The following is a 14,923-nucleotide window of genomic DNA, read 5'->3' as shown; positions in this document are numbered from 1 at the left end:
CCCTCTTCTCATGTGTTTTGAGTTCTGGGCTGGCTGTGCTCCGGGCCCTATTTGCTTTGGAAGGGCATCCAGTTAACTCCTTCTTGCCTGGAAGGCTGCTGGAGGCTGGCTAGGGAGGGAGGGGGCTTGGGAGGTGGTAGCCAGACTGGGGAGCTTACGGCTTATTTTTCCTACCTGGTTCATCCAGGGGATGTTGGAGTGATGGAAACAAGAACCCCCACCAGGACTGGGACTGGATGCCTCCATAAAGCATGCATCCCGGGCACCTTGCAGGCCTCCCCTTGGTTCCAGCCCTGGCTCTTACACTTGCTCAGATAGTCACACCTACTGGACACTCTGCAAGGGGTGTGCATGCTCACACACACATCCACACACGTGCGTGTGCACACACACGTGCACCTCAATAGACTCCTATGCTCAAACTCAGGTCATTTTCTCTCTTATCCTCCACCAGGACCCAGCCAGCTGCCATACCCCCAACAGGACAGAGAAACTGAGGCTCAGACAGGAACAGGGACTTGCTTGTAGTCAGACAGTAGGTGGCTGAACTGGAATTCAAACCTCAGCACCTTTGGCTCCTGGGATCCCTGCTGTGGGCTGGGCATGGGGGCTGGTTTCGAACCCACCTTCTTCTCCACTCTGCTGTGTGGCCTGGATACCATGTGGCCACCAGCTGAAAACCCAGAGGCATCAGGCCTTGGCTCCATTTTCCTTCTGTTGGGGCTGAGCCACCACCCCCGAGTTACTTTTTTCCACATCTGGCCAGAGTTCATCCTGCACAGTGAATATTTGAGCGGAAAAAATGTATTTCACAGTGGCTGTTAAGGTTAGGCAGCAGGAAGGGGTCCCCCAACCTGTAAACACCCATGGGGAAAGGTGGTTCTTAGGTTCTCCTTTTAGATACCTTCCTTGAGGGGATCCCTCAAAGGCCATTTTTTTGGTTTATATCCACATTTAAAAAAATTAGCAAAATGAAAACAAAATTAACAAAATGAAAGAAGGTGACCAAGGCCCTGGTGCTGCAACGAGAAGGGCTAATATTTATCATTTGCCTCTTGTGTGATAGGGCCTGTTATACCCATTTCACAGACGGGCAAAGAGAGGCACAGTAAGACGCAGCCATTTGAGCCAAGGCACAAGCCTGGGGTGGTCTGAATGGCTTGTAGCTCCTACAGCAACCCCCACCCCCCATTGTGGATTCTTCCTGGTGTTGCTGGGGCTTCTTAGCAGCTCTGCCCGAGGTACATGTGGAGCCCAGATTTACTGATCAAGTGAATACACAGAAGGGTGACTCCAGACCTCTTTTCTGCTGGCTGTGGGAGAACCATCCCCCTTGTTCAGGTTGGAGGCAAGTGTGTGTGGGAAGGGGTTTGGAGAGGGATGCGGCAAGAGTTAGGAAGTGTCTAGATCCTTGGTTCATTTATCAACAAATGTGAGCCAAACCATGTGGTGGGTGCTAGAATACACCAGCGATAAGAACTGGGAGAACACTGCCTCATGACACTGGCCTCCTTCCTTCCCCTACAGGTTCCTGGTCACTGTGTGACTCTGGACAGGTTGCTTTTTCTCTCTGTGCCTCAGTTTCCTTGTATCTAAAATGAGGACACTGGACTCTAATTTCAAAGTTCCTTCCAGCTGTTTATTTAGTTGCCACTTCCTCCTAGTGGGTAGAACTTGTGTTTATTTAATCCTCATGACAGCTATGTTGGGCTGACATTGGAATTCTTGGACTACCATACTTGGCTGTCTGTTGTCTTCTTGGTGTCCACTTATACTGATGGTAGAGCATTTTGAATTTTACCTTTGAGTATTTCCACTTCACACACTTAGAAACACAAAAGGTCATATGCCCCAAATGTTTCTGTAAGGTTGATGACTGGAGCAACCTTGGATTTATTGGAGGGGCCAATAATCTGTAGGGGAATGACCTGTCAGGAGGCTCTTGCAGAAATCCAGGAGAGAGAAATTGGTGGCTTAGAATACAGTGGTGGTGGGAAACGAGAGGAGAGCGGAGAAGGAGAGGAGGTAAACAAAAAGGTTCAGACATACTTGGAAGGTGGAATTAACAGGATGAGGTGAGGGGTGTGTCAGTCACCTGTTGACACAATGATGCCATGTTAACAAACCACCCCAAAATGTCATGGTGTCAATTCACGGCATTTATTTCACTTATGAGTCTGCAGGTTGATGATTTAGACTGGGTTTGCTTAGATGGTTCTTCTGCTCTTGGCTGGGCTGGCTTACATTTCCAGGGGTTGGCCTGGCTGTTGGTTGATCTAGGATGGCCTCAGCTGGGGACAACTCATCTGAACCCCCTTGTCAATCATCTTCCAAAAGGCTGCCCAGGTCACGTTCTCATGGCAATCATGGAAGAGCAGAAAGTGTAAGTGAAATACACAAGCATCATGTTTGTTAACATCTCATTCGCCAAAGCAAGTCATATGGTTGAACCTTGTGAGAGGACACTCTAAGGTCAGAGTGGAAGGGCACTGTAGGTCCCATGGCCAAGGGCATGGATGCTGGGGTGAATGCTGGAGAATTGGGGCCATTCCTGCTGTCTGCCACAAGAGTGGAGGATGAGGGAGAGGAAGGCACATCCACAAACACGATCACACCACAGTGTCCTGCAATATTACTTTTCTACTTAATAACACATCAGAGATTTAATAATCCTTATCAGTTCGTGCAGATCAATTTTACTTTTTTCTAGCCATGTAGTAATGTCACAGCCAACTGTTATTATCTCCATAGTACACATGAAAAGACCGAGGTTCAGAGAGGTAAGGTATCTTGCCCAAGGCCACACAATTATAATTGAGAGGCAGACACTAGATCTATTCTTTTCCAAACCTTGGCCTCTTTGGGTCTATCACACCGACATTTCTTCCCCAGGAATCATCCTGGGGCCAGTTTGAGCGATTCCAAAAGTCAGTCACCAGTAGTAGTTACCTAAGTTTAAGAAACTATAAGAAGAGAGTTCAGACTCAAGTTCTTCTCACCTCCTGATCTCAAAATATGGAGCAAAGTTTTCCTTGCCTCTGAAAACAACTTGATGTCTTCTGTTTGGAAAGAGCAGAAAAGGCCTCAATCCAAAAGAATCATGTGGTCTGGTGGAAAGAATAATTTGTTGGGAATCACATGCCCTGGGCTCCAACTCTGCACCTCTTGCCTATGGCTGGGTGGCTTTGGTCAAATCCATCAAACACTCTGGACTTGGGTTTCCCCATCCGTCAGCTGTGGCCTCTCCTTCAAAGGAAACATAAAAAACATGCCGTAGAGCTTGTTGAAACTAGGAATAAAGTCTAACTTGCTTGCTTAGGAAAGTGTCCAGGAATGTTGGATCTGGACAGCCAGTGCAAGTCTCCCTGGGTCTCTTTGGCCTCAATTTCCTCCTCAGCAAATTGGGGGAAAAGTATCTACCCCCACAAGGGCTGGTGAGCTCATAGAGGGAGGGGCCCTGACACAGACCTGGCACCCTGCAGGTATCCAGGGAATTGTAGCAATCAGCTCAATGCTATTCTCCAGCTGGCTGTCCAGCTGTTAGGGCTGGAAGGTCCTTAGAGTGTCTCGGTCTCACTTTGCCCTTGGGGAAACTGAGGCTCAGAGTGGAGAGAACTTTGTTAGGGCCCAGAGAATTCATGACATTGCTGGGCCCCATCGGGGGATGTTGAAGAAGATGCTAACTGGAGTTTACACAATACTGTTTGCACTGCATTCTGTGCTTGGCTCTGCCATGTGAGATTTCATTTAATTCTGACAACATCCTGCGAGGTGTTTGCTATCATTTTCGCCATTTTATAGGGAAGGAAAATGAGACTTGGAGACCTCAAGTGGTTGGACATGCAATTCCTGCAGAAGGCCACCCGCAAATCTCTGGCTTTCTCTTCACTGGACAAAACCCATCAGAAGGTGACTGAGTGAGGATGATGTCATTAGAATCCACACTAAATGAAATGAAAAAGAAACTAAGTCATTCTAAAATGTCAGCACTTGAACTGTTATTGGCAACCGATAGCTTGGAACAGAGTTCACAGCCAGACGTATCAGGGTGGGCCTTGGTCATCATCTGTTTACATCAGAAATGATGCTGACATCCCCAGGGCCTCAGAGACACAAGGGGCTTAGGTCAGGTAAATTTGAGTGGAAGTTTTGTGGCAAGAGCAGGGGTCTGTGGATGGCAATGCAGGCTCTGAGATGGGCTTGCTGTGTGGCCTCAGGGGAGTCACTTGACTTCCCTGGGTCTCAATCTCATTTGTAAAATAAAAGGGTTTGGACCAGAAAATATGTAAGGTCCCTTCTGCTGCCTCATCTAAGACAGGGTATCGTATATGCTGGTTAAGAGTGGGCATTGGAATCTGGAAGACCTGGGATTAAGTCCTGATAAAAACTCTAGGCCCTAAGAGGCTTAGGAACAAACAAAGCAAACAAAAATCAACACAAAAAAAAATGGGGATGGGTGAGTAAGGGAGTAATAATATATTGGCCGAAGTGGTTGGTATTAGCTTCAGGAATGGATTGATCCAGATGCTTACACAGAACTCCCATGAGAGTATCCATTGGTTTCATTGGCTCTGACTGAACTATAGTACCTCCCAGAACCAGTCACTATGACTGAGAGAATTGTGGAAGCAACTAACCTAAGGCAATTATGACCCACATATTCTGTGTGGGTGAGATTAGAACAGGTCTTTCTGAAGGGATATAATGATACCCTCGGCTGAAGAAGAGGTGGATGGATGCTAGGGAGGTAAAAACATTCACTGCAGTGAGTGGTGGTCTGTCTGAGACTTCATTTTTCCATATGTAAAGTGGGGATAATTCTTACATTTGCCTTTTTATGGCTCACTTAAAATCAACTTACTCCTCCCAATTTTCCTGTCTCCTTGTAATTAGGCAGAGGGCATGTGACTTCCCAGCAAAGGGTGGTGCATGCATGATCAGGTGTGAGTTCTTTCTGCATTCTCTTCCCTCTATAGTGAACAGGATGCCGAGATAGTATTGAGATAGTAGAGCCATGAGATGGACTCAGATTGGATCACTGAGTCACAGCATGGAGCACAGCTACCCTGGAGAGTGACCAGGCTTCCATTAGACTTTGTTTGAGCAAGAAATGAACCTTTTTGTAGTAAGCCACTGAGGTGTTCAGACATACTTGTTATTAAGCATAGCCTAAGCTACCCCAGCTAAACCTTTATGTGACTTTCTTTGTTCATGGATGTCTTTCCATGCCTGACATGTAGACCTAGCTCATTCTTTTACATATCTGCATAATATTCCATAGTATGGTGACACCTTGACTTATTTAACCAGTCCCCTTTACATCATTCTTGCATTATTGGCAGATTTCATTATGACAAACAATGGTGTATAAACAATACCATTGTATTCTTATACTTCCTCATACATCTTTGTGCACGTTGAGTTTGTGCCAGTAGTATTGCTTGGTCAGGAGCGTGCACATTTAATACTGGTTTTTACTCCCACTAATAATTTTTGAGACAGCCTGTTTGCTCTACCTTTGTTAATGAAGAATATTATTGATGTTTCCATTTTTATCAGTGTGATAGACAGAACAGGGTGTCTTATGTTAATTTGGGTTTCATAGCAAGTTTTTGGTCAGGTTGGATTTTTCAGACATCCTGCCAGCTTCACCCTACTTGTTCCAGAGAAAAAGACTGGGCTGACACTGCAAAGAGAAAGAGAGAGATACATACAGGTGACAAGATGATGAGGCAGAGACTGGGAAGAGAGAGAGAGAGAGAGAGAGAGAGAGAGAGAGAGAGAGAGAGAGAGAAAGAAAGGAAGGCACCCAGTCCCCTGTTTCTCTCCAGATTCACACACCAGCCCCCTGTCAGTCTTACTCAAGCAGGGCTCAGATCCTGAAGTGGGACCCCCATCACCTCTGTGGCCAATAGCGGGGGGGCCAGCCAACATCTGGGTTTGCACTGGGACAGGGGAGGGTTGTTGGCTCAGTTCCTCTTGGCCTGAAGCCACGAGCCTAGCTTGTTTGTATAGTCCTTCAGGCTTCTTCTCCATATCTTGGTGTTTTTGGCTCTAAGCTAGCTCCCTCCCAGCCAGGGGAGGAGATAATTCCACTCGATCTGGGCCTCTGAGGCACTGGGAAGGACGTCAGGAAATAGCAGGAGCATTACGCACCTCTCTACCCTCCACCGTCCAATCTCATTTTCATAATGTGTGGAAAAGGAACGGGGTTGCAGAGGGAGGCTTGAACACTTGGAGTTGCTTCCTGTTTTCTCTCGAATCAGTCCTTTTCCCCAAGACGCCGCTGCTGGGCCTGTTGAACCCTGCCTTCTGGTAGGTGTGTGCGTCGCATGTCTATGCATGCCCATGCAGATGTGTGTGTGTACATGTGGGTTACGTACTCAACGAGCCAATCAACAAACAGACCTAGGAGAACCCTGGAGAGGGACTCCTTCTTTCCTTGAACATGCTCTTTACTCTTGCAACCTCCCAAGAAAGAAAAAAAGGAGTTAGCTTACGTGCCTCTTCTTCCAAAGGTCAGTCACCAATAGTAGTTTCCTAAGGTGTCTGGGTAAAGCCTTCCCAGATGCCACAGGGACCTTCTTTGTCATATTCACATCTACACCTACCATGTTGAGTCCAAGACTCAGTACATAGTAAGAATGAATCCATTAATCAGGGCTAACACTTTAATTATAGAACAGAGAACAATATGGTCCAGAGAGGACAAGGACTTGCCCCAAATCATGGAGTATGTCAACGGCAAGGCAAAAAAGTGGAACCCAATGTTCCTGACACTTAGTACAGTTTTATTTTATGTCATTATGCAAGATGCTCAAAGAAACTGACTATTACTGATCTCTGACTTTATAGTTTTAACTTCTTTGGAACAACCTATGAAGGAGGAATATTCGCCATGTTACTGATGGAGAAACAGGTTCAGGGAGGTTTGAGCTGGCTCCAGGTGGAGGACCCAGAATTTGTCTTGAAGTGGCTTCTTCCAAAGCTTGATGCCTGTGTTCGGTAGCACACAGAGGGCTGGTGGGGGCAGAGCCTTACCCAGCCTTGATCAGAACCTCTGAATAGGACTCTCTCACTGTTTAGGGTCTTTTAGAGAAAGAGATCAATGGCGTTCAACTGAAGCAGACTTAAAATCTACTCCTTTGGGAAGTTTTCTCTTAAGTGCAGTCTACTTTTTTCCAGAGCTCACAGAAAGTCCTCGTGCTGATCCTGGGAGAGCAACCAGCCCATGGGGGTCTGGACAGTGAAAAGCCCTTTCTGTCTAGGTATCAACAACAATTTCCAGTAGAGCCCTGGTGGGGCTGATGTGGCCCCATTGTTGGAAAACAGGGGAAATGTGAAGAGGATCACAGAGTTACTGGTGGCTTGAAGTGTGGGGCACCCATTGCAGCCACCTTGAGGACCAAACCTGCTCTGAATCTCCCATTCTCGCATCCTTCCTGTGTGACACCCACATCCATGCACACATACACAATGGGCACACACACAGCCACTCACACGCGCATGCCCTCTCCCATATCTGTGCACACACGTGAATATACACACACCCCTAAGTTCCTACAGTAGACTGGAAGACTTTGGAATCTGAAACCTTGTCTTCACCTCTCTGTGGGGTTGCTTGGTGACCTCACCAATACCCAGCTGCTTTCATCTATAAAAGGGGGTAAAATTCCCAGGGATGAGTTGAGGATACAGTGTAATATGCCCGTCTGCTCCTTAGTATTTGCTGAAGTCATTATGTGACCGTGTTGCTCTGGGCTGCTGCCCCACCTCTCGCTTTCCTCAGTAGAGCCTACTGCATCCCTTTCTCTTAGGACAGTTGCCTAGTGCACATTCCTCCAGGTGACATCTGATTGGTTCAGTTACTTCTTTCCACCTGTAAGTCCCTGGCTAATGAGTGGTTTGCACTAGGGCACACAACCATTGCTTTGTCCAATCAGTGTGTTCAGGGCCAGGACACATGATCCACCCAGACAAAGGCTACTTAGGGAAGTAGGGGTGGTGGGTAGTCTGGCACCCTGAAACAAGCCTGGGGCAGCCAGTGAGAGGTGGGATTTCAAACCCTGCTCTGTCTCCTGCTAGCTGGGTGCCTTTGGACAAGTCCCTGGCATGAAGCTGTTTTGTCATTGGCAACGTATGATGATAATAAGGACAGCACTGTTTTCCAGCACCACTGTGCACATCCAGCTGCATAATTTAATCCAGACTGCCGGCACAGGGCCTGGCACCAGATACATTTTCAGTCCATGTGGATTCCTTTCATCTCCTGAGTTCAGGCTTTGAGTAGTTTGAGCATCCTCCTCTCTATCCTTTACCCAAGACAACCACCCGCCATGGACAACAGTTTGAACCAAGAGGGTTCATCTAATTTTAAGCCCTAGTGTGTCACCAATTTATTTTGGTCCATGAACTATTGCTCGCACCTGTTGGCATCTTGGAATGCAAACTCCTTCTAATTTTAAGCACCAGCAGGGGCAGGTCTAATTTTGGGTGGCCCTTGTGCCGGGGGCTCCCAAGGGAATTCAAGCTCTGTTGTTTGGAGCACCTGGGGTGAAGTGGGTGCCTTCCAGAATAGATTAGGGTTGTGATATGTTCAAGAGGGACCCACACAGTTTGTATCCACACAACATTAACTACAATTTTCTTCAGGACTTTTATTGTGGCAGGTCTTGTTCCAAGTCAAGTGCTTTTCATGTATTATTGGATTACTTTTACTTTGAAGTGTAAATCAGCCAACACGGAGTGCTTACTATGTGCTAGGAGCTGGAGATGCAAAAATGAATCTGACATAGTCCCACCTGCAGAGAACTCATGATCTAGTGCTCACAGGCACGTAAAAAAAAAAAAAAACAGTTATAGTGCAGTGAGATCAGAGAGCCGTACAGTGCCTGGCACCCAGCTGCCTTTGAGGGAATGTCCAGCAAATGAATGGAAGCAATGTTTGTGATAGAGACAAGATAAAGTTGCTGCAAGAAAGCAAATTCCCATTCTCCTTGGGAGATTAGCAGAAGGTTTCACAGAGGAAATTATACTCTGAGCTAAGTCTTGAAGAAGATAAAGTGTTTCTCCAGGTGGAGAAGGGAGGAGGATGTGGCATGTATTTTAGTGCTTCACCCACATTGCTCTCAGCACAAAATGTTTCTATGTGCACCTGGCCCATTCCAATGGCCAACACCAAATGCTCTTTGTCTGAGGGTTTTTCTGGTCACCAGAGTTTGTTTGGTCCTTGTGAGTGGTAGGCAGAGAGAGGCTGGGAATTAACACTCCCAGGAAGCCCTCAACTGCTAACAGATGGAGTTGTTGTATCAATACCCCAGCTCCCTCCCCACTCAGGTGGAATAACATTGAGATGTATATTCTGCAGAATCTCCCAATGTTCCCCAGTGGAATTGAGCCCTAGTTGCCCATGGTGGTAATTGCCATAGATAATGCATCCTGTATGGCTGGCTTCTTCCTTATCTCCTTTTCCCACTCTTCAGCAAGGGCTTTCTGCACATTCCGAGTAAACTGCTGTTCATCTGGGGGCCAGCTTTTGGGAAAATCCAAATCAAGACAGTGAAAGAAGCATGGATCACCAACGTGACACATTCCTGAAATGTGATGAGTGATATATTGTCAATGATTAGGCTAGGTATCCATCATCACTGGCCATTCCCATTCTGATCTGGTTTGCAACCAGCCCACTGGGGAACATCATCAAATCTTATTTTGCAGGTAAAGACTCCAAAGCTCAGAAGAGTAAGTTGACTTGCTCAGAAACACAGAGCCAGTGGTTGTGTGGTGCAGACAAGAAGCCAGGAGTCTGTGATTCAAGGCCAGGAATACCACCATGTCTTGCTGTATATCTTTCAGGACTCTGTGACTCAGTTTTTCTGCAGGTTACTGTATGATTCTCTGGAGCAGGGTACAAGGTATGTTTCCACTGTGTGCCTCCCCTGTCCCTCACCCACAAGCCATCTTCTTCCCTTGGGGCAGCTGACACATCTCACAGGCCCTTGGAACAAGGTCGGGGACAGCCAGGAGGGTGTGTGTGTGTGTGTGCGTGTGTGTGTGTGTGTGTAGGGGGGTGGCTAGTTTTGTGCCAGCAGCAGGTGCTGCTGTGCAAAGAGCTCCAGCCCTGCTGGATGGGGCCTGGATGCTGGCTTCTCTGAGTAGTAAGCAATCAATTGATGAAGTGTGGTTGAGTGCATTCAAAACGCTTGGGGACAGTGGGGCTGGGAAGATTCTCTATAGCATGATAGTATTTGAAGAAGCCAAAAAGAAGAGTAGGAACTTCCATGAGTAACAGGTTGGGAAATTTCCAAGGGAAGCTGTAATGGGCATTTGTCTTTTCCCCCCTCCTCTCTGACTAATTTGTTGCTTTGGGATGCATCACCCCTCTCTTATTCTTAGCCCTGGGGTTGGGGTTAGAGTGAGAGTGGAACTCACTCTCCACTGCAGGGAGTGCCCTGATTGGCTTATACCAGTCATCATTTTCCACTGTCAAGTCGTAGTGATTGGTTCAAGGCTAGACCATGAGAGCCCATCACAAGCCAAGGAGATGCAAGAAGGCATCTGCTGGGATTTCTAGAAAAGAGACGCTTCCTCTTTCTTCTACTTAAGAGTGAGAAGTAAAGATATAATCTCTGTGATAGATACGGTCAAATTGTTACCAGGTCAAGAGACTCTGGAGCTTCTGTGTTCCTTATAGGAGACACCTTGAAGCTTGCTGGATGCCTCAGAGGGAAGTGAGAGAGAAACAAGCACCAGAGAAGGCAGAGTGAGGAAACAGAGAAATTGGGACTTTGGAGACATTGTTTGAGCTGCTGGACCAAGCCTTGCCTGAAAGCAGCATATCTAGACTTCAACATGTAAGTTAATATATTTTTCTTTTTTATTGGATGAGGGTTAGGTTTATTGAGGTATAATCTACTCATGGTAAAATCCACATTCTTCAGTGTATAGTTTCATGTATTTTGACAAACACATATAGTCATATAACCACTACCACAAATTGGAATATCAGACAGTTCCATCAACCACTCCCACCCCATCAAATGTTCTTATAGCCCCTCCCTGTCCTATGTTTTTAAAAAAGATTTTGGCTTAGGCCAGTTCAAATTGGGTTTTCTGTAATGTGCATACCAAGTGTCTGACTAATAAAAGTCCCCAAGATCACCCCCTCCCTCCTTTCCTTCCTAGCCCCTTTTGGAAAAGATTAGTTAAATGTTTACCATGCCCCAGACACTGTGCTAGCCCCAGCCCTCAGTCCCACTCCTCTCTCCAGCAATCAGATTGGGTATCCCCATTTAGGTTTGGAGGAGATGACTGCCAAGAGAATAACCTGGTTTGCTGGAGTGGGGCTGCTGGCCAAAATGCTGTTTGTTCCTTTCAGCCCCACTCTGAGGAGCTTCTGGGAGAGTTGGCTAGGTCTTTCCCAAGCCTGGGAAGCAGAAGCCGGGGCAGATTAACAATGCCAATTACTAAGATCCTGCAGTCGATGAAAGGTTGGTGTTTTGCAGCCACTTCCTTAGCTGGACAATGAGGGAGCTGACCTTTCTGTGCTCAATAAACCAATTGCCACTAGAGAGTAGGTTCCCTGGTGACCAGGAACCAAAAGCCAAGTTGCAGATATCATTTCTGGGGGGTGGTGGCAGGGGGAAGGAGAAAGGAGATAGGTGCTGGGGGTTGGGAAGCCTGGGTTTCGATCCTGCGCCACTATGTGGCTTGGGGCAGTCACTCCCTGAGCACTTCTGCACTTAGTAGGCACCTGCTGTGTGCCTGGACCCTGTAGACCAATGTCATTTGTGGTCATCTTACAAAAGGACTCAGGGATGCAGAGGAGGAGACTGCAGGATCACTTTGTCCAATCCTCTGGTTGTACAAGTTGGGAAACCAAATCCCAGAGAAAGACTTAGCCCCTGAAGGCTGCCCATGGGACGGTCCTTCCACAGTAACCTGTGCATCACACTTGGTGGTTTACAGAGCCCTCTCTGACCCACTCTGACCACAGTCTCCCCACCGTCCCCGAGGAGACTAGATCTGGAAGAGGATATTTCTTGGATCTGGTCACCTGGCAGAGATGAAACTCTGATGAGAGGCTGCCCATGCTTCACCTGCCTCCCTCCCCCTGAAGCACCTGATCCAGGGTTGGCCTGCACCAGGAGCACTTTCCTTCTCCCAGGAGGAGATCTGCCCTTCTCTAACTCCAACACTTTGTTAGAACCCTGAAGGTAGAGGAGCCAGACAGACCTGGGTTTGAGTCCTGACTTTGGCACTGATGGACTGCGGGACTCTGCCCTTTACCTTAAGATCTCAGGCCGGGTGCGGTGGCTCATGCCTGTAATCCCAGCACTTTGGGAGGCCGAGGTGGGTGGATCACGAGGTCAGGAGATGGAGACCAGCCTGGCCAACATGGTGAAACCCTGTCTCTACTAAAAATACAATAATTAGCCGGGCCTGGTGGCGGGCGCCTGTAATCCCAGCTACTCAGGAGGCTGAGGCAGGAGAATTGCTTGAACCCAGGAGGCAGAGGTTGCAGTGAGCCGAGATTGTGTCACTGCACTCCAGCCTGGGTGATAGAACAAGATTCTGTCTCAAAAAAAAAAAAAAAAATCTCAGGATTCAAAGAGATGGTGCATGTGAGGATAAACCTGCCCAGCCCTGCCTTGCCTTAAGCCACGAATGTGAGGGCTCCAGATACATCTGTGGACGTCACTGAGATGCGCCTGGGCTGCCTTCTCATTTCTGGCCTCTGTGCTTCTGAGAGCCCTCTTCTCTCAATTGAAGCCCCCTTTCTACCCCTGCCATTCTTTTGCCCTTCCAATTCCTGTATCCTAGGAGTAAGGCTGGAGAATGAGTGGAAAGAAGACACCTTTGCTTGGGAATCTTTCAGATGCCAGCTGGCATGGGTTTTTGCCCTGGCTTTGAGCTGAGCCTCAGCCAAGGACTGATCCCCTGCCTGCAGCAGGTAGGTCCTGGTCATGCCAGGGAGGCCCCTCTGTCTAGATGGGAGGGAATGTCCACATCCCACTGCAGGAAGACCCAGTAAAGGCCCATCTGTGTCCAGCATCTTCTGTGCGCCAGGCTTTTCCTCACTCAACCCTGATCCCAAGTTACATGGTTAGCACTCTTAACCCCATTTTACAGAAGAGAAAACAGAGGCTTGGAGAGACTTAACCACCATCCCAGGATTGCACACAGAAACCTAGAGAGTGTTGGTACCTGGGTCCAATGTCGCAGCTGTTTCTGCTTTCTGGGTCACCTGGGCAAGCCATGCCCCCTTCTCTGGAGCTTTGGTAACCCAGAAGCACAAAAGGAGGCTGTGAGTGAACTAGTCAGTGGTTCTCAAGCTTGGGTGCACATCAGAAAGTTCTGGAGGGCTCGTTACAACACAGATCACCGGGCTCACCCCCAGCAATGAATTGCTGATTCATTAGGTCAGGGATGGGGCCCAAGAGTGTGCATTTCTGACAAGTTCCAGGGAGATGCTGTTGCTGATGGTCCAGGGACCACACTTTTGAGAACCACGTGGCTGGATGAACTCAGATTCTTTTGAGTAGTGACATTGAATGGCTTCTTCCAAGTACTGCTGAGTCCGCTGGTTTCCCTTGTGATCCATGACCCACTTCCCCAGTGACTCTGCTCACATGGGTCCTGACAGAGATGATGTCCTGCGAGTTTTCTGGCAAACCCAGAGGAGAGGTCCAGAGAGTGGATCCGGGGGCTTTGCAGCAATGGAGTGGGCTTTCAGCAAACTCAAACATGGCACAGGTGAGACGATGGCATAGAGCTTCGGGAATCAATATTCTCGTGCAGCGTTGGAGAGCAGGGCTGGGGAGCGGCCAGGGGGGTCGAGGTGACAGCTCCTCGGAAGCCCCCACCCCTCCACCACCCCATCAGGATTTGCGCTGTGTCTGCCAGGCTGCTCTGATATATTGGCCCTCTCCTGGGAGCCTCCCAACTTGCCATTGGTAAACAAAGCCTTTATTTCCCAGGCCAGTGGGGAAAAATTTCAGACCTTTATAATTAAGTGTCCCGGTGAAGGGCAGCTGCCGAATTCTGGCACTGGGTGCCTGTCAGGCTGGTGATGGATGGCAACAACACATCATCCCAGCGGCAGCCCGGCTGTGAGCTATGGGGGTCATATATCACAGCAGGCCTGGCTGGTCTTCCCTGTACACCGTGGAGGCCACAGTTGGCAGGCAGCTTGGGCTCTGTCTGGGGTTGGGGGTGAAGAGGGGCATAGGCTAGCCCGGGAGGCCCTTCCCTATCTTCTTATGGTTCAGATGAGGAAGCTGGGGGCCAGAGTGGGCTGTGGTCAGCCCCACACCTATTTTCTCCTGCCTCCAATACCCTCACCATCCAACCCCTCACTCTGGAAGACATTGAGAAGCCTAACTTGAGTCTACCCTTTTCCCCACTTCTTTGGTCCAACCCATCATCAACATTCCTGTTGTTTCTGCCCCCTAAATGTCTCCAGAATTAATCTACTTTTCTACTCATCATGATCGCCATCCTTGTCTAAGCCACCACCTCTCCCTCTCTCTTGCTGTGCTCTCCTACTGTGGTTGGGATGGAATTGCCTGCTCCTGAAGGTGGCCATGTGACTTTGTCACTAGAATGAAGCAGAAGTATCAATGTGTCAGTTCCAGTCAAGACCTCCAGTGGCCTTGTGGCTTCCACTCTCTTGAGATTCTGCCATGGCTATAAGAAGGACATGCCCAGGCTAGCTTTCAATCCCAGGAGAGGATGAGAAAGCTAGGGGCAAATTTGCTCCAGCTAAAATGCTCCAGCCAAGCCAAACATAGAGAAGAATACTCCCCAAGCCAACTACTGACCCCTAGAAGTGTGAGCTATAATAATAGATGATAGCTGTTACACACCATCAAGTTTTGGGATTGTTTCTTATGCAGCAAAGCTAACTGATACATGTTGTCTA

At 48.2% G+C, this 14,923-nt stretch overlaps 1 long non-coding RNA gene across 1 annotated transcript in view; it reads left to right on the top strand.

Annotated features, from left to right (window-relative positions):
- LOC105372981 (uncharacterized) overlaps positions 1–13,744 on the top strand; it is a 56,572-nt gene extending 42,828 nt beyond the window's left edge. Inside the window, exons 2-6 of the long non-coding RNA XR_938124.2 lie at positions 9,718–9,914; positions 10,694–10,853; positions 11,378–11,489; positions 12,823–12,952; positions 13,460–13,744. This is a non-coding gene — a long non-coding RNA (uncharacterized LOC105372981). The remainder of the gene's footprint in view (positions 1–9,717; positions 9,915–10,693; positions 10,854–11,377; positions 11,490–12,822; positions 12,953–13,459) is intronic.
- The last annotated feature ends 1,179 nt before the right edge of the window (positions 13,745–14,923 follow it).

Source organism: Homo sapiens, chromosome 22 (genome assembly GCF_000001405.40).
Source record: "Homo sapiens chromosome 22, GRCh38.p14 Primary Assembly".
NCBI lineage: Eukaryota > Metazoa > Chordata > Mammalia > Primates > Hominidae > Homo > Homo sapiens.
This window is presented reverse-complemented; position numbering and strand designations above follow the sequence as displayed.